This window comes from Homo sapiens, chromosome 2, assembly GCF_000001405.40.
Source record: "Homo sapiens chromosome 2, GRCh38.p14 Primary Assembly".
Taxonomy (NCBI): Eukaryota; Metazoa; Chordata; class Mammalia; order Primates; family Hominidae; genus Homo; species Homo sapiens.
This window is the reverse complement of record NC_000002.12, coordinates 206,060,265-206,083,363: the sequence shown is the minus strand read 5'-3', so window position 1 is coordinate 206,083,363 and position 23,099 is coordinate 206,060,265. Positions and strand designations below refer to the sequence as shown.

Below are 23,099 nucleotides of genomic sequence, written 5' to 3'. Positions count from 1 at the left end.
TTCTTAGTCATTTTTCTTGGAACATTTTAAGGTTTGAAAAAAATTGTTATTGCCTTATAATTTGATATTTTAAAGGTATATTGTTGACTTCACATTCCTAAGCTTTCCAAAACTATGTGTACAAATACCAAAAAAGTTTTGTACTTTTTCCCACCCTACCTCAAACATGTATTAATTTCCTAACCTGATCGCCTAATGGGCTACTTTATTTCCTGAAGGAATGACAGGTTTGATGTTTTTAAAAGTTACATTCCATTTGAAATTAATAAAAGATTTTCAGGGCAAATACTGAATTAACTTTAAACTACTAAGGGAATATGCTTTTTTATTATTAAGTGTTAGTTTAAAAAGTAAATGGTTAGTATAATTACAAGTCTGAAATAATCAAGTTTTCTTTCCTCTGGAAGATTTTTAGGAGGAAATTTGTATATCCCATTCCAACTTTTTCTCAGCAAATCATGTTGCTACTATTTTTAGAGAAATAAAAATTTTAGTTTAGAAGGAATTAAACATTTCTGAGAGCACCCAAAATTAATGACATTTCAAAAAAATGCTAAACTATTTATTCATACCTGAGATGTTCTCTGAGGGTTAGCAGCTCTCACTATCCAGGTTTGGTACAATGGTTATGGCTAATGAAAAGTCATTTATATTTGAATACAGTTAGAGCAATATTCTCAGACACTTTTCTTTCCCCCTCCCCCACACCTGGTAACTGGTAAAACAATGGTTGAATAGGTGAGACTGGGTTGGAGGCAGCAAATTGTCCCCAGTGCTAAGTCAGTTTAACTTACACATGCAGCTCTGTGCTAGGCAAAACAAACAGCAATAGAGTCTCCTCACTTCTTCAAGCAAGAGTTTGTCCCAGAAGTCCTGACTGTAAAGGCTGATTTTTGACAATGCTCCTGGCTAGTTTGAGATACTGAGGAAATACTCAATTTAAAACCTTAAGCCTCCCTCTTTTCCCTCCTTGCACGTAAGGTGACAGACTACTTGGTTCTCATCCTTTCACAGAATGTGATTTGTTTTTAAGATGAGTTTTTAGGCCGGGCGTGGTGGCTCACGCCTGTAATCCCAGCACTTTGGGAGGCTGAGGCGGGCGGATCACCTGAGGTCCGGAGTTCGAGACCAGCCTGACCAACATGGAGAAACCCCGTCGCTACTAAAAATACAAAATTAGCCAGGCGTGGTGGTGTATGCCTGTAATCCCAGCTACTCTGGAGGCTGAGGCAGGAGAATCACTTGAACCTGGGAGGCGGAGGTTGCAGTGAGCCAGGATTGCACCATTGCATTCCAGCCTGGGCAACCAGAGCAAAACTCTATCTCAAAAAAAATAAAAGATGAGTTTTTGGTGAAATTTTATTTGTAGCATGACTTCCTGCAGTGACACCTTTAGACTGGGCTTTGAGTTCTGATCCCAGTCCTTCCGCTGGGCAAGTTATTTAGTCTTTGGTTTCTTTAACTTAAAATGGGAATAAAATTCTTTGATATAAGGGTTAGATGAGATAGCCATGTGTTTGGCCCATAATAGTATTAATTAAATGTTAATTCCACTAGCCCACTTTACTTTTCTTTCTTTCTTTCTTTCTTTCTTTTTTTTTTTTTTTGAGACAGGGTCTCACTCTGTTGTCGAGCCTGGAGTACAGTGGCATGATTACAGCTCACTGCAGCCTCAACCTCCTGGGCTCCAGTGATCCTCCCACCTCAGGTGTGCCTGTAGTCAGCCAGGACTACAGGTGCTTGCCACCATGCCTGGCTAATTTTTGTATTTTTTGTAGAGACAGGGTTTCCCCATGTTGCCCAGGCTGGTCTCAAACTCCTGGATGCAAGGGATCCGCCTGCCTCAGTCTTTCCAAGTGCTGGGATTATAGGTGTGAGCCACCAGGCCTGGCCTCCACCTTACTTTTCTAGTAGTAACATCTAAATACTATTTCTCTTGTTTCCTTTTTTAAATAACTGAAAGTAATACTGTACTATACATACTATAGTAGGCTTATGCTATATTTGGAGAGTAGACCTGTTTTTCCCACTCAAAGGATAACCACTGTTTAACACTTTCGTGTGCTTTTTCTCTTTATGTGTATGCATACAGCAGAAACAAAGAGGAAAAACGTAAGGGTAGGATTGTCCATGTAATGGTAGTTGTGTCGTTTTGTATTGGTTAAAAGCTTGGGCTCTGGAGCAAATAGGCCTTGCATCCTGACTGTGTGACCTTGGATAATGACAATTACTTAATCTGATTAAGTCTCAGTTTTCTTCGTCTGTAAAAGGGGGTAATAATAGTACCTACTTCATAGGGTTGCTGTGAAGACTAAATGAGGAATTGAACATAAAGCCTTTAGAATGGTTCCTGAAGCATAACCTTTATATTTTCTTGGTGCATAACTTTTTCTGGTGCATAACTTTTCTATTTTTTTCTAAAGATTTTTAATATTCTTTTTTTTTTTTTTTTTTTTTTTTTGAGACTGAGTCTCACTCTGTCGCCCAGGCTGGAGTGCAGTGGCACGATCTCAGCTCACTGCAAGCTTCACCTCCCGGGTTCACGCCATTCTCCTGCCTCAGCCTCCCAAGTAGCTGGGACTACAGGCGCCCGCACACCCGGCTAATTTTTTCTATTTTTAGTAGAGACGGGGTTTCACCGTGTTAGCCAGGATGGTCTCGGTCTCCTGACCTCGTGATCCGCCCGCCTTGGCCTCCCAAAGTGCTGGGATAACAGGCGTGAGCCACCGCGCCCGGCCAGATTTTTAATATTCTTGATGTGAATTTTTAATGAGTTCTTGCCTCAGTATATATTAATAATACTAATAAGTATTTGAGTACAGAGAGAATATTATAATTACTTTAATGGGGCAAATAAATATATTTTTGCCAGTAAAAAATTGTGCAGTATATTCCATTTCAGCAGCTTCATGTTAGCATAGTCTCTGCTGTTTGAATTTGGAATTGGCCAATATAAAGGTATAGTAAGTACACCGAGGGCAAAGGAGCACAGGGTGGGTTTGCTTTACTCCTCGTTCCGCTCTTTCAGGTTTTGAAGTGTTTTTGTGAGTCCCCGTGGACGGTAGTGTTGCATGGTTTTGAAGGCACTGAGCAGTTTGTAGAATTGATAGGCTCACTTTAGAGTCCTGGGCATGTTTACCTGACTTGATTGGTAGGAGCAGCTGCTGGTTCATTCATTTAACAGATTAGCTTCTCTGTTGTAGCTCTGAGCTTTGCAATAGAGACACGTTCTCTGCCCTTGAGGAGTTTTTAGTCTATTGGAGAAGAAAAATAAGCTGACATTTACAATGCCAATGTGAATGTTAAGTAATAGCTTAGCCTGGAGGAATATTCTTCTATTCTGGCCTAAAGGGCAGGCTAGGTTTTAAAGTGAGGGCTTTGCAGGGGAAGTTTCTGTCCTAAGCGAATGGGAGGAGTTCGGCATTCCATAAGGTGTGACCTGTAAGTAGGAATCAAAGTTTAGGGACAAAAGAGTATCCTGTGTTGCAAATTGTGGTTCTGTTACCTCCCAGGAGTTGGAGGAGGAGGGGAATAAATAGTGAGAGGGAAAGGTCAGTCTGGCCAGGTCCTAAGGAGTTTCTGTGTTAGGGGAAGGAGTTTGGATTTCTTTTACGTGACAAGCAGACCCTGAAAGTCTTTGGCCACATAAATTACTTGAGATTTAGAGGATTTGAGTTATACAGAGTAGGAAAAAGGAGGACAAGACTGTAATTAGACCAGTGAGGCAGCTCCTGACAAGAGATTTGAAGAGGGTTTGAACTAAGGTGGTGGCAATGGCAATTGAGAGGAGGTAGCAGTGGCAGAGGCATGTTAAGGAGGTAAGGCGATCTCATAGGTGGACTGGATGTAAATGTGGGACTCATCCTCACAGACGGCTGCTGAAATGGTAGAAGTAGACAAATTTGGGCTAGTCAGTGGTTCTTAGTCTTGGACACTTCTCCAGAAAAATCCACATATGCAGTTGTATACATTTGGTTTGAAACCTGGGGTAGGCTTGGTACCATGGCTCACAACTGTAGTCCCAGCACTCTGGGAGGCCAAGGTGGGCGGATCACTTGAGCTCAGGAGTTTGAGACCAGCCTGGGCAAAGTGGTGAAACCCTGTCTCTACAAAAAATACAAAAATTAGCCAGGTGTGGTAGTGCATTTTTGTAGTCCCAGCTACTCAGGAGGCTGAGGTGAGAGGATCGCTTGAACTCAGGAGGTCAAGGTTGCAGTGAATCTTGATCACACCACTGCACTTCAGCCTGGGTGGCAAAGGGAGAACTTAACTCAGAAAAAAAAAAAGATAAAGCCTATAGAAATGTTTTGTTTGACCCACACTTTTTGTGATGGTTTCTGATTTTTCTTCAGTACCTTTTCATACATGAGGAAACAGATTTATAAAATAACTTAGGGTTACATGTCTTTTTCTTTTCTTTTTTGAGACAAAGTCTCACTCTGTTGCCCAGCCTAGAGTGCAGTGGTGCGATTGGCTCACTGCAATCTCTGCCTCCCAGGTTCAAGCAATTCTCTGCCCCAGCCTCCCGAGTAGCTGGGATTACAGGCGCCCACCACCACACCCAGTAATTTTTGTGTTTTTAGTAGAGACGGGGTTTCACCATCTTGGCCAGGCTAGTCTTGAACTCCTGATCTCGTGATCCACCTGCCTTGGCCTCCCAAAGTGCTGGGATTACAGGCGTGAGCCACCGCGCCTGGCTGTCTTTTTCTTTTTTTGTTGTTTTTGTTTAAATGGAGACAGGGTCTTACTATGTTGCCCCAGGCTGGGCTCAAACAAAGGGGCTCAAGTGATCCTTCTGCCTCAGCCTGCCATAGTGTTGGAATTACAGGTGTGAGTCACCACCCCCGGCCTTCATATGTTCAAAAGTTTAAAGGAGCTGCTGACATGAAAACAATTAAGGTATTTTGTGGGGAAATTTGGATTTTTATCTTCTTTTATTTATTTTTTTGAGATGGAGTCTCGCTGTGTTGCCAGGCTGGAGTGCAGTGGCACGATCTCAGCTCACTGCAATCTCCACCACCCCGGTTCAAGCGATTCTTCTGCCTCAGCCTCCTGAGTAGCTGGGACTACAGGCGCGTGCCACCACGCCGGCTAATTTTTGTATTTTTAGTAGAGACAGGGTTTCGCCATGTTGGCCAGGCTGGTCTTGAACTCCTGACCTCAGGTGATGCACCTGCCTCGGTCTCCCAAAGTGCTGGGATTACAGGCCTGAGCCACTGTGCTTGGCCCTATCTTCTTTTAATAACATGGAAGAGCTGGAAGTTCTGGGTCAACCTTTTTTTTTTTTTTTTTTTTTTTTTTTGTAAACATTGCAACAACTTGCTGGAAATGATTTGAGCAAAGTATGCCAAAGAATGCCCCTGGCCTACTCTTCCAGCCCATGTAGGCATTTCATCTTGCACCCCTGTAAAGTAAGATTAAACGAACCTTGGAGTATATTGGCATGGAAGCAAGGGGGTCAAGAGAAAAGAACTCACTGACTGGTCAGAAAGGAGAGATTTTCAAGAAAGAGAAAGTGGTCAGCAGTGTCAGATGCTGCAGAGAGGTCCAGTTAGCTGAAGGCGGAAAAGTGTATGTGGAATTCAGTAACAAAGAGGCCATTAGTTTCAGATTTTTAGCACAAAAGAACTTTGAGGAGTAGAGCTACAACTTAGTTTTTCTTCTTTCCTCTTGTCCTGTAATGCAGGGTTTCTGTAACAACAGAGAATGACTGTGACATGGATCGGAACTTAGAAAGCATTTGTTGTGAAGGATTATTAACTGGAACTAATAAATACTGTACCCAGATCAGTCAAACAGTGCTCATTCTGCTAGTGTTTTCCATCACAAGAACATTAGTATTTAAGTGCTCTATAGAATGTAGGAAATATTTTGGATATTAGATTTTTAATGATTATAGGAAACTATTCAGAAAACCACTAACAGCTGGAGAATGTATTTTAGTCCTACAGATTCTAGATCAAAATGATAATACAAATAAACCACTACTTACTGCTTCTAATGGTAGTTTGTTTTTTTTTTTTTGAGACAGAGTCTCGCTGTGTCGCCCAGGCTGGAGTGCAGTGGCGCGATCTTGGCTCACTGCAAGCTCCGCCTTTCGGGTTCACACCATTTTCCTGCCTCAGCCTCCCGAGTAGCTGGGACTGCAGGCGCCCGACTCCCGGGTTCACACCATTCTCCTCCCTCAGCCTCCTGAGTAGCTGGGACTACAGGCGCCCACCACCATGCCCAGCTAATTTTTTTTTTGTATTTTTAGTAGAGATGGGGTTTCACCATGTTAGCCAGGATGGTCTCGATCTCCTGACCTCGTGATCCACCCGCCTTGGCCTCCCAAAGTGCTGGGATTACAGGCGTGAGCCACCGCGCCCGGCTTCTAATGGTAGTTAATATTAAGTGATTACTATATGCTGGGGTTACAGTTCATGAAATACCTAATTTAATTATCCTAGGCAACTCAATGAGATACATACAATTACAATCTTCCCTTTACAGATGAGAAGACTGAAGCCTAAATAACTTGCCCAAGGTCTTATACTTAGTAATTAGCAAAACCAGATTTGATCCCCCTCTCTGATACCTACCAGAGCCAGTGAGTGATCTTTCTGCTGCATAAACTATCCTTACCTTTCTAATATAGCAGGGAAGGAACTAGTGTAAAGTTCATTGAAATTCCTAATGCAAACTTACTTGTACAGTGCTGTCTGAGTACAGTATATGGCACATACTAGACATTCAATAAGCATTATTTTAAAATATTCTGGTTCAAACTTGATTATAATGAATGTTGTTTATATTTTCGAGTGATAAGCAGTTTTCTCACTGCTTCTTTCTCTTCCAGTCACATCAGTTGATAGATTTTCATCATTCCTCAGTCTGATTTTACTATTTTTTACATAGGTAATATAGATGTTTGGTTCTTAAAATCAATATAGTCATCTGTTTAGTGTCTTATTACATTCTTATGCTTCATCAAGTTGAATTAAAACTCATTTAAAAAGTACATAACATGGAAAAACGTTTTTAAGACTTTATGATACTCTAAATATGATTTTAACAGTATCCACTCTTTCTGGGATAAGTAAATATTCTTTTCATTTGCATTAAGTATATTGGAAAACAAACATTCTGATAATTTAGTAGGCTCATGTTAGTTTTATTTATTTTATTTTTTGTCGAGGGTTTCATTACATTGCCCAGCCTGGTGTTGAACTCCTGGGCTCAAGTAATCCTTCTGCCGTGGCCTCCCAACCTTCTGGTATTACGGTATGAGCCACTGTGCCCAGCCTCACACTAGGTTTTTTTTTTTTTTTTTGAGAGGGAGTCTCACTCTATTGCCCAGGCTGGAGTGCAGTGGTGCTATCTTGGCTTACTGCAACCTCCACCTCCCGGGTACAAGCAGTTTTCCTGTCTCAGCCTCCAGAGTACCTGGGATTACAGGTGTGCACCACCAAGCCCAGCTAATATTTGTATTTTGTAGAGACTGGGTTTCACCATATTGGCCGGGCTGGTCTCGAACTCCTGACCTCAAGTGATCCGCCTGCCTCAGCCTCCCAAAGTGCTGAGATTACAGGCATGAGCCACTGCACCTGGCATCTCACGCTAGTTTTAAAAAAATTATAAGGTATGAACTGGGCACGGTGGCTCATTCCTGTAATCCCAGCACTTTGGGAGGCCGAGGTGGGCGGATCACTTGATGTCAGGAGTTTGAGACCAGCCTGGCCAACATGGTGAAACCCTCGTGTCTACTAAAAATACAAAAATTAGCGGGGCATGGTGGTGCTTGCCTGTAAATCCAGCCACTTGGGAAGCTGAGGCAGGAGAATCACTTGAAAATGGGCAGCAGAGGTTGCAGTGAGCCAACATCGTGCCACTGCACTCCAGCCTGGGCAACAGAATGAGATTCTGTCTTTAAAAAAAAAAAAAAATTATAAGGTATGTTGTAGATCTAGGCTCTTTAAAAGTGGTAGGATATAAAATTACAGATGGCAATTAGAGAAAAATGGTGTGGCAGTGAAATGAACATGTTTCTGAAACAGGAGAATCAAAAGAACAGCAGTGACATAGAGATTCCACATGGAGGTGATCAAGTGGTAGTCCCAAAGAGAATAATGTTCATATTTTTGTCAAATTGTTTTGTGGTTATCATTGGAAGACTGAAAGGGCTGCTGGCTGCTTTTGTTAAAAGTGTATCTTCCTTACTTTTCTCCTTGCTAATGTCTTATTCCTCTGTATTTGTAAGAAGTAAGAAACAATGGAAATGAATTGTTCAATTTTCCTATTAAACTTGGTGTATAATATCAAAGAGGAATTTTTTTTTTTTTTTTGAGATGGAGTTTCGCTCTTGTCATCCAGGCTGGAGTGCAGTGGAGCGATCTCAGCTCACAGCAACCTCTGCCTCCTGGGTTTAAGCGATTCTCCTGCCTCGAGATGGAGTTTCGCTCTTGTCGTCCAGGCTGGAGTGCAATGGAGCGATCTCGGCTCACAGCAACCTCTGCCTCCTGGGTTTAAGCGATTCTCCTGCCTCAGCCTCCTGAGTAGCTGGGATTACAGGCATGTGCCACCACACCTGGCTAATTTTGTATTTTTAGTAGAGACTGGGTTTCTCCATGTTGGTCAGGCTGGTCTTGAACTCCTAACCTCAGTTGATCCTCCCACCTCAGCCTCCCAGAGTGCTGCAATTACAGGCGTGAGCCGCCATGCCCAGCCCCAATGAGGATTTTTTAAAAACCTAAACCTAATCATATTTCCTACTGTTTTTTGTTTTTGTTTTTAGACAGGTTGGAGTGTAACGGTGTGATCTCGGCTCACTGCAACCTCCGCCTCCCGGGTTCAAGCAGTTTCTCCTGCCTCAGCCTCCTGAGTAGCTAGGATTACAGGCACCCGCAATCATGCCCGGCTAATTTTTGTGTGTTTGTAGAGACGGGGTTTCAACATGTTGGCCAGGTTGGTCTTGAACTCCTGACCTCAGGTGATCCGCCTGTCTTGGCCTCCCAAAGTGCTGGGATTACAGGCGTGACCCTCCGTGCCCGGCTATTTCCTACTCTTGAATTCTAGTATATGGTTATGTTTGCTGTTGAAATATTTTTTCTACAGCAAGTGAGACTTGAGTATTTTCTGTTCTCAGTAATGGTTATTTCCATTTTTTGGTAATAACAGTGTATATTCTGCTGCTGCTCTAAAGTGCTTTAATTACCTGCATTCTCTCCTTTAAGGGAGCATAGGTCTGTTTATATGCTAAGCAAGTTGTCTCCACAGCTGAAGATGGTATTTGCTAGAACTGTTAATAAATTTAGTTTGGCTAAGGTTTTTTTTTCTTTTTAAAGTGATATTCATCATGTATTAAAAAGTAGAGTTTGGCTGGGCATGGTGGTTCACGCCTGTAATCCCAGCAGTTTGGTAGGCTGAGGCAGGAGGCTCACTGAGACTAGGAGTTTGAGACCAGCTGGGCAACATAGTGAGACACCCCCCTTTTCTAAAAACAAAAACAAAAACAAAAAAAGATAGTGCTTAGTTTTAGCCTTTTGTTTGCATGGATTAGGAAATGTGATAGGCTGAGCATGGTGGCTTAGGCCTGTAATCCCAGCACTTTGGGAGGCTGATGCTGGTGGATGGCTTGAGCCTAGAGGTTCGAGACCAGCCTGGGCAACACGGTGAAACCCCATATCTACTAAAAATATGAAAAATTAGCTGGGCGTGGTGGCATGTGCTTGTGGCCCCAGCTCCTTGGGAGGTTGAGGTGGAAGGATCACTTGAGCTGGGGAGGTCAAGGCTTCAGTAAGTCGTAATCATACCACTGCACTCCAGCCTGGCCACAGAGCAAGACCCTGTCTCAGAAAAAAGAGGGAAAGGAAAGAAAGGAAGAAAGAAAATGCGATAGTATTTATATATCAGGGTCTAAAAGACATTTGATTAAGATTATGTGGGCTTTATATATTGTATATTTCCATTCTTATTTATATCTTGCACTCAATGCCAAAGAGTGAAAGTGATGTGAACTTCACCTTTAGTAAAATCAGGGTAAAAAACGCCAGCTGTGGAAGGCTAGGGGTAAAGAGTGAAAAATATGTAGGATTTTTTCTGAGAACTGCCTCAGTGCGTTTGTCATAACTTCTTCTTTATTTAAAAAGGAGAAGTTTATTAATGTAGAGAAGACCAGATATTGATCTGTTTCCAGTTTACAGAACAGTGATTTTGATACTACAATAATACTCAATTAGAAGAAATTCAGGCTGGTTGTGGTGGCTCACGCCTGTAATCCCAGCACTTTGGGAGGTGAAGCAGGAGGATCACTTGAGGCTAGGAGTTCAAGACCAGCCTGGGCAATGTAGTGAGACTCCATCTCTACAATAAATTAAAAAATTAGTTGGGCACAGTGATTAATGCCTGTAGTCCCAGCTACTTGGGAGGCTAAGGTAAAAGGATCAATTGAGCCCAGGAGCTTGAGGCTGCTATGATTGTGCCACTGTACACTCTAGCCTTGACAAGAGAGCAAGACTGTCTCTTAAAAAAAAAAAAAAGAGAAGAAAGTTAGATTTTTATAAAATTATTACAAAAGTAATGCATTTGTTGTAAAAAAATTCTATAATAAGTATGCTTTATGGTTTTGATATTATTGTGGAATAGTTTATTCAAAATTTAAAAAGATATTTGTGGTTAATGATAGCAAGTACTGAGATCTCTATTCTTCCTTCTCCAAACCAACTTTAAAAATAGGGAGAATTAGAAACAGAAACTAAACTGCAACTTTGACAATTACTGTAACCTTGTAATCAAAATATATGAATTACGGCAGGCGCGGTGGCTCATGCCTGTAATCCTAGCACTTTGGGAGGCTGAAGTGGATGGATCACCTGAGGACAGGAATTCGAGACCAGCCTCGCCAACATGCTGAAACCCCGTCTCTACTAAAAATACAAAAAAATTGGCTGGGCGTGGTGGCGGGCGCCTATAATCCCAGCTACTCAGGAGGCTGAGGCAGGAAAATGGCTTGATCCAAGGGGCAGAGGTTGCACTGAGCTGAGATTGTACCACTTCACTCCAGCCTGGGTGACAGAGCGAGACTCTGTCTCAAAAAAAAACCAAACAAAACCCTCCCAAAAAACCCAAAATATATAAATTAGTGCTATTAAGTGCAGTGAAAATTGAACCAGGGCAAGAGAGGATGCCAAGAGAGGATGATTTCCTCTGTAGAACCAGGCAAAGCAAAGGAAGAAGCTTTCTCTCAAGAAAGTGACACACCCCGAGGACAAAACCAGTAATCCCCATGCATGGATGGCAAAGTTGGATATATGTATGTTGGGCTCCCTGAGTGGCAGGAGAGGTGGGGCTGAGTTGCAAACTGTGCAGTCCTACCAGTTTTGTAGGAAGTTCAGAGTGGAGGAGAAACTGGCAGCAAGCAGCCTTTCAGCTCCTGATCTTGGTCATGTGAAGAGAAGTAAAGCCTAAATTATCACCCCACCCCCAAATCTATGCCATGTGGGCTCCTGTGAGTTAGGGAACATAGTCCAGCATGGAGTCAAGCCTCAAGGGAAAGTGAAAAAATAGTTCCTATGGTGGAAGGTGGGGGTGAGACATACCTCCTCTGAAACTAGAGTTTAAAGATGAGATATAAAAGCTCGAGAAATAAAAGAAGACAACAGAAGTATTGTAAGAGTGAGCTGATGGAATCAGGGTACAAAATAAGAGAAAAGTAACATTGCAGAAACATTCAAAGTGCAAATATCAACTATAGCTGGGGGTAATGGAAGCAAGCTTGAGAAATTTGAGCAACCCAAAATGGAACAAATAAAAATGAAGAAAGACTAGAGAGAGAGTGACAGATAGGGAATACAGTCAATCTAGTATGCCAATAATTGATACCCCTGAAGCTGTCGGAGAATAAATCAAGCAGAAAGAAATGTCAATACATTAAGGAAGAGTTTCCCACAATAAAAGATTTGAAGGCAGGTGTGGTGACATGCACCTGTAGTCCCAGCTATGGTGGAGGATTGCTTGAGCCCAGGAGTTCAATCCAGCTTGGGCATTATAGTGCAACCTCATCTCTTAAAAAAAAAAAAAAAAAAAAAAAAAAAAAAAAAAAAAAAAAAAAAAAAAAAAAAAAAAAAAAGGCCGGGCGTGGTGCTTATGCCTGTAATCCCAGCACTTTGGGAGGCTGAGGCAGGCGGATCACCTGAGGTCACAAGTTCGAGACCAGCCTGACCAATATGATGAAACCCCATCTCTACTAAAAATACTAAAATTACCTGAGCATGGTGGCATGCACCTGTAATCCCCGCTACTCAGGAGGCTGAGACAGGAGAATTCGCTTGAACCCAGGAGGTGGAGGTTGCAGTGAGCTGAGATCGTGCCATTGCACTCCAGCCTGGGCAACAAGAGTGAAAAAGAAAAGAAAAGGATTTAAAATTTTAGAACAGTTTCTAGTCTTTAAATAGACTTTTATTGTTAGGTCAACATGCAAAAAAAAAAAAAAAAAAATCAAGTCCCCTATAAAATCAAGAGACTGGCTTCAGGCTTTTTCAGCATGAAACAATATATACAAAGTCAGTAGATAAAAAAAAGCACAACCCAAGAATTTTATTTCCAGACAAGCTGTTGTTTAAGTATAACACCAATTGACATGTTTTCTTTTCTTTCTTTTTTCTTTTTTTTTGAGACGGAGTCTTGCTCTGTTGCCTGGAGTGCAGTGGCGTGATCTTGCCTAACTGCAACCTCTGCCTCCTGGGTTCAAGCGATTCTCCTGCCTCAGTCTCCTGAGTAGCTGGGACTATAGGCACATGCCACCATGCCCGGCTAATTTTTTGTATTTTAAGTAGAGACAGGGTTTCACCGTGTTAGTCAGGATGGTCTCTATCTCCTGACCTCATGATCCGCCCACCTCGGCCTCCCAAAGTGCTAGGATTACAGGCATGAGCCACCGCGCCTGGCTCTTTTCTTTTTTTGAGACAGAGTCTCATTCTGTTGCCCAGGCTGGAGTGCGGTGTGGTGCAGTTTTGGCACACTGTAGCCTCGACCTCTCAGGCTCAAGCAATCCCTTCACCTCAGCCTCTCAAGTAACCAGGACTACAGGCACATGCCACCACACCCAGCTAATTTTTGTGTTGTTTTGTTTTTAGTAGAAATGGTGTTTCAACATGTTGGCCAGGCTGGTCTCGAACTCCTGACCTCAAGTGATCCGCCCACCTCACCTCGGCCTCCCAAAGTGCTGGGATTACAGGCGTGAGCCACTGCACCTGGCCTAATTTTTGTATTCTTTGTAGAGATAGGGTTTCGCTCTGTTGCCCAGGCTGGCTTCGAACTTCTGAGCTCAAAGCAGCCTACACGCCTCAGCCTCCCAAAGTGCTGGGATTACAGGCGTGCACCATCATACCTGGCCAACGTATGTTTTCAAATAGAAAAATCGTGGCTTATAGTTTCCACAAATCTGCTCTTTTCGGGGAAAGAAAGGAGAGGAGACTGTGTTGTAAACTATTGAATCAAGAAGTGAATGGAAGACTAAGTTAAAAAAAAGCATCATTTTGCATTGAATAAATTTAAATGTAGAACTAAGAACAACAACAGGAAAAAGCCTTGAGAGTTAGGGATGGGTAGGTAGTTGTAAGTCTGGAAATTTTTCTCGTTTATAACATGGGATCAGTTGCAATAATGCTGATAAGTATACTAATTTTCTTAGTGTGGAGTAAAGAAATGTTATCTAAAGGAGACAGACTACAGTTTTTCTAAGAAAACAGACTACAGTTGACCCTTGAACAACTTGAAAGTATAGGTACCAACCCCACATGTTGAGAATCTGCATTAGAACTTTTTTTTGAGAATCTGCATTAGAACTCCTGACCTCAGGTGATCCACTCGCCTTGGCCTCCCAGAGTGCTAGGATTACAGGCATGAGCCACCACACTTGGCCATATTAGAACTTTTGACTACCCAAGAAAGTTAACTAGCCTACTGTTAACTAGAAGCCTTGCTGAAAACGTGAACAGATTAACACATATTTTGTATATGTATTATATATTATATTTTTACAATACAGTAAGCTATAGAAAAGAAAATGTTATTAAGAAAACCATAAGGAAAATATATTTAGTATTAAGTGGAAGCAGATCATCATAAAAGTCTTCACATTGAATAGATGGAGGAAAAAGAGAAGGGGTTGGTCTTACTGTCAGGGTAGCAGAGGAGGAAAAAAAATCCATGTATAAGTAGAGCTACACAGTTCAAACCTTTGTACTGAATATAGTGAAATGTATAATGAAAAGATTAAATTAAAGGCTAAAGGCAATACAAAATATAATAGGATTAAGATGAAATATGTCATAAATACAAAATTATAAATTGGATAAACTCATTTATTAAAAGAAAATGACTTGGACCAGGCAGGGTGACTCAGGCCTGTAATCCCAGCACTTTGGGAGGCCCAGGCAGGGAGATCACTTGAGACCGGAAGTTCAAGACCAGCCTAGGCAACATGGTGAAACCTCGTCTCTACAAAAAATACAGAAAATTAGCACTGTGTAGTGGTATGTGCCTTTAGTCGCAGCTACTCAGGAGGCTGAGGTGGGAGGATTGCTTGAGCCCTGGAGGTTGAGGGTGCAGTGAGTGGTGATTGTGCCACTACACTCCAACCTAGGTGACAGAGTGAGACACTGTCTCAAAAAAAAGAAAAGAAAAAAAAATTGCTCAAAAGTAAAATGATTCAGATTGGAGCAAAAAGTCAAACCCAACAAGAGTTGCATCTAAAAGGGATCAACAAATAACATGTTAGTAAATAGTTTTATTTTTGTGGCCATATAGTATCTGTTGCAGCTATTAAATTTTACCATTATAGCACAAAAGTAGGCATGGACAGTATGTAAATGAATGAGCATGGCTGTGTTCCAATAAAACTTTATTTACAAAAACAGACAGTGGGCCACATTTGTCCTGTAAGAAATAGTTTAGTTTGCTGACCTGAGATCTAAAATGTAGTGTGGCCAGGCACAGTGGCTCATGCCTGTAATCCCAGCACTTTGGAAGGCCAAAGCGGGAGGATCTCTTGAATGCAGGAGTTTGAGACCAGCCTGGGCAGCACAGCAAGACCCAGTCTCTACAAAAAATTTAAAAAATTAGCCAGATATGGTGGCACATACTTGTAGTCCTAGCTACTTGGGAGGCTGAGGCAGGAAGATCTTTTGAGCCCAGAAGTTTGAGGTTGCAGTGAGCTATGATCATGCCACTGCAATCCAGCCTGGCAACAAAGTGAGACCCTGTCCTCAAAATAAAAAATAAATAAAAATAAAACACAACACAGTGCCTCAAAAGTTGGGAACAGAAGTACGGGCAAAGACTCAATTGATAAATTCAAACCAAAAAAGCAATAGTTCAAATATTTGTGTAAGACAAGGTTGAATTCATCACAAAATGCTCAGTTGAGTTGCATTTTTTTTTTGAAACAGGGTTTCCCTCTGTTGCCCAGGCTGGAGTGCAGTGGCACGATCTCGGCACACTGCAACTTCACATCCTTCCATCCCTGCCCTCAGATTTCTTTCTATGATTTGTAAAATGCTCTCATACCTACAGACATGTAGATTGCTCTTTTTTCTTGATGTTCGTATAGGTTTCTTTGAACTAATTTGTGAAAGATACGTGTGTGTTTGGCTTGTGGGTGAGTAGAGAAAAGATGGTGAAAAATGAAAAATGGCATGGATTTGCTTTGAAATATTTCCTGTCCCAAACATCCAGGGCAGCTAAATTTAAATGTTTATGTTTTATAATTTTCAAATTAAAAAATTTTAATGGACACAAAATAATTGTACATATTTGTGGGGTATATAGTGATGTTTTGATTCATATAATGTATAGTAATCAGCAGGGTAATTAGAACAGCCATCATCTCAAGCATCATTTTTTTGTGTATTGGAAACATTCAATATCCTCCTTCTAGCTATTCAAAACTGTATAATAATTATTGTTAACTATAGCCATCCTACAGTGCTATAGAACACTAGGGCTTATTCCTCCCATCTAGCCATAATTTTGTATCCTTTAACAAATCTCTCCATATTCTCTTCTTTCCCCTACCTTTCCCAGTCTTTGTCTTGTAGCCTCTAGCCTCTGTTCTACTTTTTACTTCTTTTTTTTTTTTTGGAGACGGTTGCACTCTGTTGCCCGGGCTGGAGTGCAGTGGTGCGATCTTGGCTCACTGCAACCTCCGCCTCCTGGGTTGAAGCGATTCTCCTGCCTTAGCCTCCCAAGTAGCTGGGATTACAGGCCCCCACCACCATGCCCGGCTACTTTTGTATTTTTAGTAGAGACAGGATTTCACCATGTTGGCCAGGCTGGTCTCGAATTCCTAAGCTCAAATGTTCCACCTGCCTTGGCCTCCCAAAGTGCTGGGATTATAGGCATGAACCACTGCGCCCAGCCTACTTTTAGCTTCTATGAGATCAACTTTTTTATGTGACTACATGAGTGAAAACATGTATGTTTAATTTTCCATACCTTATTTATTTCACTTAAGATAATGTCTTCTAGTTCTATCCATATTGCTGTGAATAAGAGAATTTCTTTTTCTTTTTTTTTTTTTTGTGATGGAGTCTTGCTCTGTCACCCAGGCTGGAGTGCAGTAGTGCGATCTCGGCTCACTGCAACCACTGCCTCCTGGCTTCAAGTGATTCTCCTGCCTCAGCCTCCCGAGTAGCTGGGATTACAGGTGTGTGCCACCACACTGAACTAATTTTTGTATTTTTTGTAGAGAAGGGTTTTGCCATGTTGGCCGTGTTGGTCTTGAACTCCTGACCTCAGGTAATCTGCCTACCTTGGCCTCCCAAAGTGCTAGGATTACAGGTGTGAGCCACCACGCCTGGTGCCCAAGAATTTCATTCTTTTTAATGGCTGAATAGTATTCCATTGTGTATATATACCACATTTTCTTTATCCATTCATCTGTTGTGGGACACCTAGTTTGATTCCATATCTTGGGTATCATCAATAGTGCTTTGATAAACATGGGAGTGCAGATATCTCTTTGATGTATTATTTCCTTTTCTTTGGAAAAATGCCTAGTAGTGGGTAGTTCTATTTGTAGCTCTTTGAGGAACCTTCATACTGTTATTTTATTTGTTTATTTTTTTTTTGAGACATCGTCTCGCTCCATCACAGGCTGGAGTGCAGTGTTGCGATCTCAGCTCACTGCAGCCTTGACCTCCTGGGTTCAGGCGATCCTCCTGCCTCAGCCTTGAGTAGCTGAGACTACAGGCGCATGCCAACAAGCCCAGCTAATTTTTGTATTTTTAGGAGAAACAGGATTTTGCCATGTTGACCAGGCTGGTCCTGAACTCCTGACCTCAAGTGATCCACCTGCCCTGGCCTCCCAAAGTGCTGGGATTACAGGCGTGAGCCACTGCGCCCGGCCCATGCTGTTCTTTATAGTGGCTATACTGGTTCACATTCCCAAACAGCGTACAAGAGTTCCCTTTTTGCTGCTTCCTCACCAGCATTTGTTATTTTTTGTCTGTTTGATAATAGCCATCCTAAGTGGGGTAAGAGGATACCTTACCCCAATTTTGATTTGTATTTCCCTGACGATTAGTGATGTTCAGCATTTTTTCCAAATATTTGTTAGCCATTTGTATGCCTTCTTTTGAGAAATGTCTGTTCAAATCATTTGCCCATTTAAAAATTGAATTGGTTGTATTTTTTTCTTTTGAGATGTTTGTTTCTTATATATATACTGGATGTTAATCCCTTGTTGGTTCAATAGTTTGCAAATATTTTCTCCCATTCCGTAGGTTGTCTTTTTGTGCTGTTGGTTGTTCCTTTGCTGTGCAGAAGCTTTTTAGTTTAATATAATCCCATTTGTTTATTTTTACCTTATTGTCTGTACTTTTCAGATCTTTTTTTCTCTCTTTCTTTTCTTTTTTTGAGACAGAGTCTCACTCTGTTGCCCAGACTGGAGTGCAGTGGCGTGATCTCGGCTCACTGCAACCTCTGCCCCCAGGTTCAAGTGATTCTCCTGCCTCAGCCTCCCCAGTAGCTGGGATTACAGGCATGCATGACCATGCCTAGCTGATTTTTGTATTTTTTAGTAGAGACAGGGTTTCACCTTGTTAGTCAGGCTGGTCTCGAGCTCCTGACCTCATGATCCGCCTGCCTCGGCCTCCCAAAGTGCTGGGATTACAGGCATGAGCCACCGTGCCCACCCTGTACTTTTCAGATCTTAACTCATAAACCCTTTCCCCACATCAGTGTCCCCTGTGTTTTCTTCTAATAGTTTTATAGTTTCAAGTCTTACAATTAGGTCTTTGATCCATTTTAAGTTGATTTTCGTATGGGGTGAAAGGTGGGGGTCTAGTTTCATTCTTCTGCATGTGGATATCCAGTTTCTTAGCACCTAAATTTAAATTTCTAGTCCAACTTTTTTTTCTTACATTCTCATAAGGTGAAAAGAGAAAGCTCTTATTTTTTACATTAATGTGTGATTAATTTACTTAGTAATGAATGTGATTTTTTTTCCCTCCAGAAGAGAAAATATGATTTTTATTAACTAAGTTAATATTTTGAGTTTTTTTTTTTCCTACTACAGTAAGTGAAGTATGTCTTGAGAAGACTACAAATTCTCTACTTTCATTACTGGCAGGTGGAATGTAGTCTTGTATTACAAGAATGAACACTTGTGAATAGTAATTTGTTTCTCTAGTATTTACCATATACTAGGGATGATACTTAGTATGTTGGATGCTTTGTATCATTTGATCATTCCAGTATCCTGATAACATAGCTACTATTATTATCCCTGTTTTACAGATGAGAAAACTGACATTCAAATAGGTTAAATGATTTGTTCAAGGTAACACAGCAAGTGGCAGATTTTGGACTTGAACAACCGTGTCTTCTGACACCTCCAGCATTTATGTATCTTGTCATTTACTGGTAAAACAGAGAGTATTTCTGGACTTTTTCAGTAGCTGATATCTGAGCTGTTCCATCAGCCATCTTGATGGCTGGAAGTGTGGAAGAGGATGGGTGAGACTCCATCAGCTCACTAAGATCCTGACTTGGCAAAATAGATTCAGTTTCATGATAGACTAGATGGTGTTGTAATATATAAATCCTACCACTGGGCCTTTTGCGTGTAGATTGGTAGTGAGTATTGTGTAATTCCCTCCTTCCATTTTCTCACTGACTCTGAAAAGACTCATAAGCCACGATTATTTTACTATTTAGTGTGACTGGAAGCACCATGTGGTGCAGAACTTTGAAATGAATGATATAAGTGTGGTCAGCTGACTAGTCTTTGGGCCTGAGAAGTTTATTGTGATTGGATGGGATAGGTGTGGGGAAATATTATAAGGGAAAGAACATTTTTTAATGACAGAAATTTAAATACAAAATTTATTTTGTATTTCATAGAAAAATTTATAAATTGCCAAATATTTTACCATCATATCAAAAGAAGTAGAATTTCTGAGAGAAGTTTTAGGTCTACCATTTATTCTGCTGGCATTGTAAAGGGATGTGGGTTCTGAAAATGAGTATAGCATGCAAACATCAGTAATGAAAAAGAGACCTGCTACCTGTGACATTCATTTGGTGGAAGAGTTTTGCTGCTTTGAGGTATTTATAGAACTTAACCAGAGCAAATGTTATTTAGTTCAATTTGGGGGGATAAGGTAACTTACTTTTTTTTTGTTTTGTTTTTGAGACAGATCTTCACTCTCACCCAGGCTGGAGTCCAGAGGTGTGATCTCGGCTCACTGCAACCTCTGTCTTCCGGGTTCAAGTGATTCTCCTGCCTCAGCCTCCCAAGTGGCTGGGATTACAGGTGCCCGCCACCATGCCTGGCTCAGTTTTGTATTTTTAATAGAGACGGGGTTTCGCCATTTTGGCCAGGCTGGTCTCAAACTCCTGACCTCAAGTAATCCACCCGCCTCCAAGGTGCTGGGATTACAGGCGTGAGCCACGGCGCCCAGCCAACTTAATGTTTTATAATGTCTCTTATTTTCTTATTTAACCTCGTTATTGGGATGTTGATTTACAGTGAAGAATCCATTGCATTAGTAAGGGTGATATCTTAGTATTTTGCTTCCTGGGTGAGCTAGCTTTGCTTATTTCTGTTTGTTAACTAGGCCTTTTGATATTTTTATAGACAATCTGCTTCATCCTGATTCTGCGGCATTCCAAACTGTGGTATCCTTGGGGGTTCTCTTAACATTGCTATGGTGCAGAAGATTTAAAATCAGGTATGGCTGTGGGGCCAGAAGTCCCTCAGTGAAATTCTCAACTTAAATCTGCCTTATACTCTCTGATTTATCATTTGGGTTTCTTTTTTTGTGGTGGCCTTTTAGCTGATGTTCACAAGGAATAGAGTCACGTGATGTATGAAGGGAAACATATACACTTCTCTGAGGTTGACAATAAGCCCTTGTGCTCATATAGCCCCAAACTGTGCAAGCAGAGGCGACTCAACGGCTACGCCTTCTGTATCAGACACGTTCTGGAGGACAAGACTGCCCCCTTCAAGCAATGTGAATATGTGGCCAAGTATAACAGCCAACGCTGCACCAACCCCATCCCCAAATCAGAGGATCGTAGGTAAGGGCTAATCATGAGAATCAATCCTTGATTTCATTAACAGGCTTGGAATTTTTTCTTTTCTTGTTTTTTCTTCTCTTTTCTTCTGTCCTTCATTTCTCCCTCCCTCCCTTCCTCCACCTATATAAATGTTGAATTCTGGGGGTAATCTAAGTAATCTATGGAATACTTTTAAAGATGAAATATGGCAATTTTTTAAAATAGAGTAATAAATTTGGGGAATTACTTAAAGTATGTTTGAGTGTCTTCTATTTAATTGATTTCATGGACTTCTAGAATTTTTAAAAGATTTTTTTTCCCTCAAAGTTGCTGCTTGAAGTCTTGAAACGGATTTGTTTGGTTTATGGCCTTATAAAGTAATTCCTGACTTTTCTACCTAGTTTTCTCATTTGCCTAAATGAGAGAAATTTAAATAACTAATTAGGTGTTATAATTAATGATAGCAATTTTGGAGTTTAAAATCTATGCCTAGAAGTTAGTAAAGGATATATACTTACTGAAGAAAATTTTAAAAAACTACTTGAATCAGTTAGATTTATTTCCTATCAGACTTCTCACCAGTGTTTGGCATGTTTTATAACCTTACCTTTTTTGGTTAAAAAGTGTTCCAAATAGAGTATGTTTGCCATAATTTGGAAACACTATTTTCACATTAAGGGTCGGTTTTGCCACTAGAATGATGAGTTTATGCTTCGCTAAATTTAGAAAAGAGTGGAATTGTTTTTAAAGGAGTCTTATACTGGTTATTCATCTTTCATATTGTTAGGAAAATTCACACTATCTTTCATATATAATCTCTTCTCTGTGCTTCTTTTTCTTCAATTCTCCAGAAACTATATAGATCACTGTGGGGCTTCATGGAGAGATACATGCTTGTTTTCCAAAAGTTTCAAGATACTTGTTATCTCTAGGTAGAAAATTTGAACCTTTCACTTCTATCTTAAAACACACACACAACCTTCATCCATGTTTCTATACATTAGCAAATGTCACTTGCATAAATTGGTTGGAAAGGAATCAGATATTTTGTGTCATGAATACTTTTTACACTTGCAGTATGAAATAAATAATTTGTGTTGGTGCTGATCTCACCAAAATGAGTACAAATAGTTTAATGGGGATTTAGGAATACTCTCTTAGAATTTCTAATGAGCATTGAGGCTTCAAATTACAATACCTGAAAGTTAGAAACAGCTGCTTAGTGAGGCAAGGAATAAAATTTTAATCTCAGGTGAGAAAGGGATGTATGTATTAGGCTAAATATATCTGTCTAGTTAGTTTTTAGCAGACTGAAAATGATAATTTCTTACCCTGCCTTTTTTTAACTTGAAGAATGGATGAGCTTGGATTAATTTTTTTTTACATCAAGCCCCATCGTAAACACATTTCTAAAATTTTGTCTTAAAATTAGCTTATCATGGTTACAGTTGTCAGTGTTGGATTTTTTTTCAGTTGAGCCAAAGCAAGAATTATCTTAATAGCAGCAAGGACTGGGTGTGATGGCTCACGCCTGTAATCCCAGCACTTTTGGAGGCTAAGGCGGTGGATCGCTTGAGCCTAGGAGTTCAAGACCAGCCTGAGCAACATGACAAAACCCCATCTCTACAAAAAATACAAAAATTAGCCAGGTGTAGTGGTACACGCCTAGAGTCCCAGCTAATTGGGACTGAGGTGGAAGGATTGATTTAGCCCAGGAGGCCGAGGCTGCAGTGAACAGTAATTGTGCCACTATACTCCAGCTTGGGCAACTGAACAAGACCCCCTATCTAAAAAAAAAGGCAAGAATTCAAGTGAGAGTCCTTATGAATCTCTTCAAAATATTCTCTGAAGCATCTGTATACACCTTTGTCTTTGAAATAGTTTGCTCTTTTGAGAACAAGATAAGGGAAAGGACTTTCATGTTTCTATCTCGAGAAGCTGTGCTTAATAAGTACTAAGTTGCCGGGCACGGTGGCTCACGCCTGTAATCCCAGCACTTTGGGAGGCCGAGGTGGGTGGATCACCTGAGGTTGAGAGTTTGAGACCACCCTGACCAACATGGAGAAACCCCGTCTCTACTAAAAATACAAAATTAGCCGGGTGTGGTGGCACATGCCTGTAATCCCAGCTGCTCGGGAGACTGAGGCAGGAGAATTGCTTGAACCCAGGAGGCGGAGGTTGCAGTGAGCGGAGATCGCGCCATTGCACTCCAGCCTGGGCAACAAGAGCGAAACTCCGTCTCAAAAAAAAAAAAAGCACTAAGTTGTTGTTGTTGTTTTTTTTTTTTGACGGAGTCTCGCTCAACTGTTGCCTAGGCTGAAGTACAGTGGCATGATCTTGGCTCACTGCAACCTCTGCCTCCTGATTCAAGCAATTCTCCTGCACCAGCCTCCCCAGTAGCTGGGATTACAGGTGCACACTACCACGCTCGGCTAATTTTTGTATTTTTAGTAGAGATGGGGTTTCACCATGTTGGCCAGGCTGGTCTCGAACTCCTGACCTGAAGTGATCCTCCTACCTCTGCCTCCCAAAGTGCTGGGATTACAGGCATGCTC

At 41.2% G+C, this 23,099-nt stretch overlaps 1 protein-coding gene across 8 annotated transcripts in view, besides 1 other annotated feature; it reads left to right on the top strand.

Annotated features, from left to right (window-relative positions):
• INO80D (INO80 complex subunit D) overlaps positions 1 to 23,099 on the top strand; it is a 92,454-nt gene that overhangs the window by 2,811 nt on the left and 66,544 nt on the right. For 3 of the 8 annotated variants that reach the window (XM_011511375.3, XM_011511369.4, XM_011511376.2), the window contains exons 2-3: positions 20,120 to 20,213; positions 20,410 to 20,565. Coding sequence is in view for 4 of the 8 variants with exons in the window: in XM_011511369.4 (XP_011509671.1) it covers positions 20,120 to 20,213; positions 20,410 to 20,565 (250 nt within the window). In the remaining 4 variants the exon portion in view is untranslated. Of the gene's footprint in view, positions 1 to 15,204; positions 19,796 to 20,119; positions 20,214 to 20,318; positions 20,566 to 23,099 lie in introns of those variants that run through there. The other 5 variants (NM_017759.5, XM_011511371.3, XM_011511370.3 and 2 more) reach the window with 3 other exon arrangements.
• Positions 590 to 1,379: an enhancer, noted in NCBI's record as "H3K27ac-H3K4me1 hESC enhancer chr2:206946709-206947498 (GRCh37/hg19 assembly coordinates)". NCBI's record gives its function as "activates a minimal SCP1, AML or CMV promoter by ChIP-STARR-seq in naive and primed H9 embryonic stem cells {active_cell/tissue: H9 hESC(naive and primed)}" and the evidence as "EXISTENCE:reporter gene assay evidence [ECO:0000049][PMID:30033119]".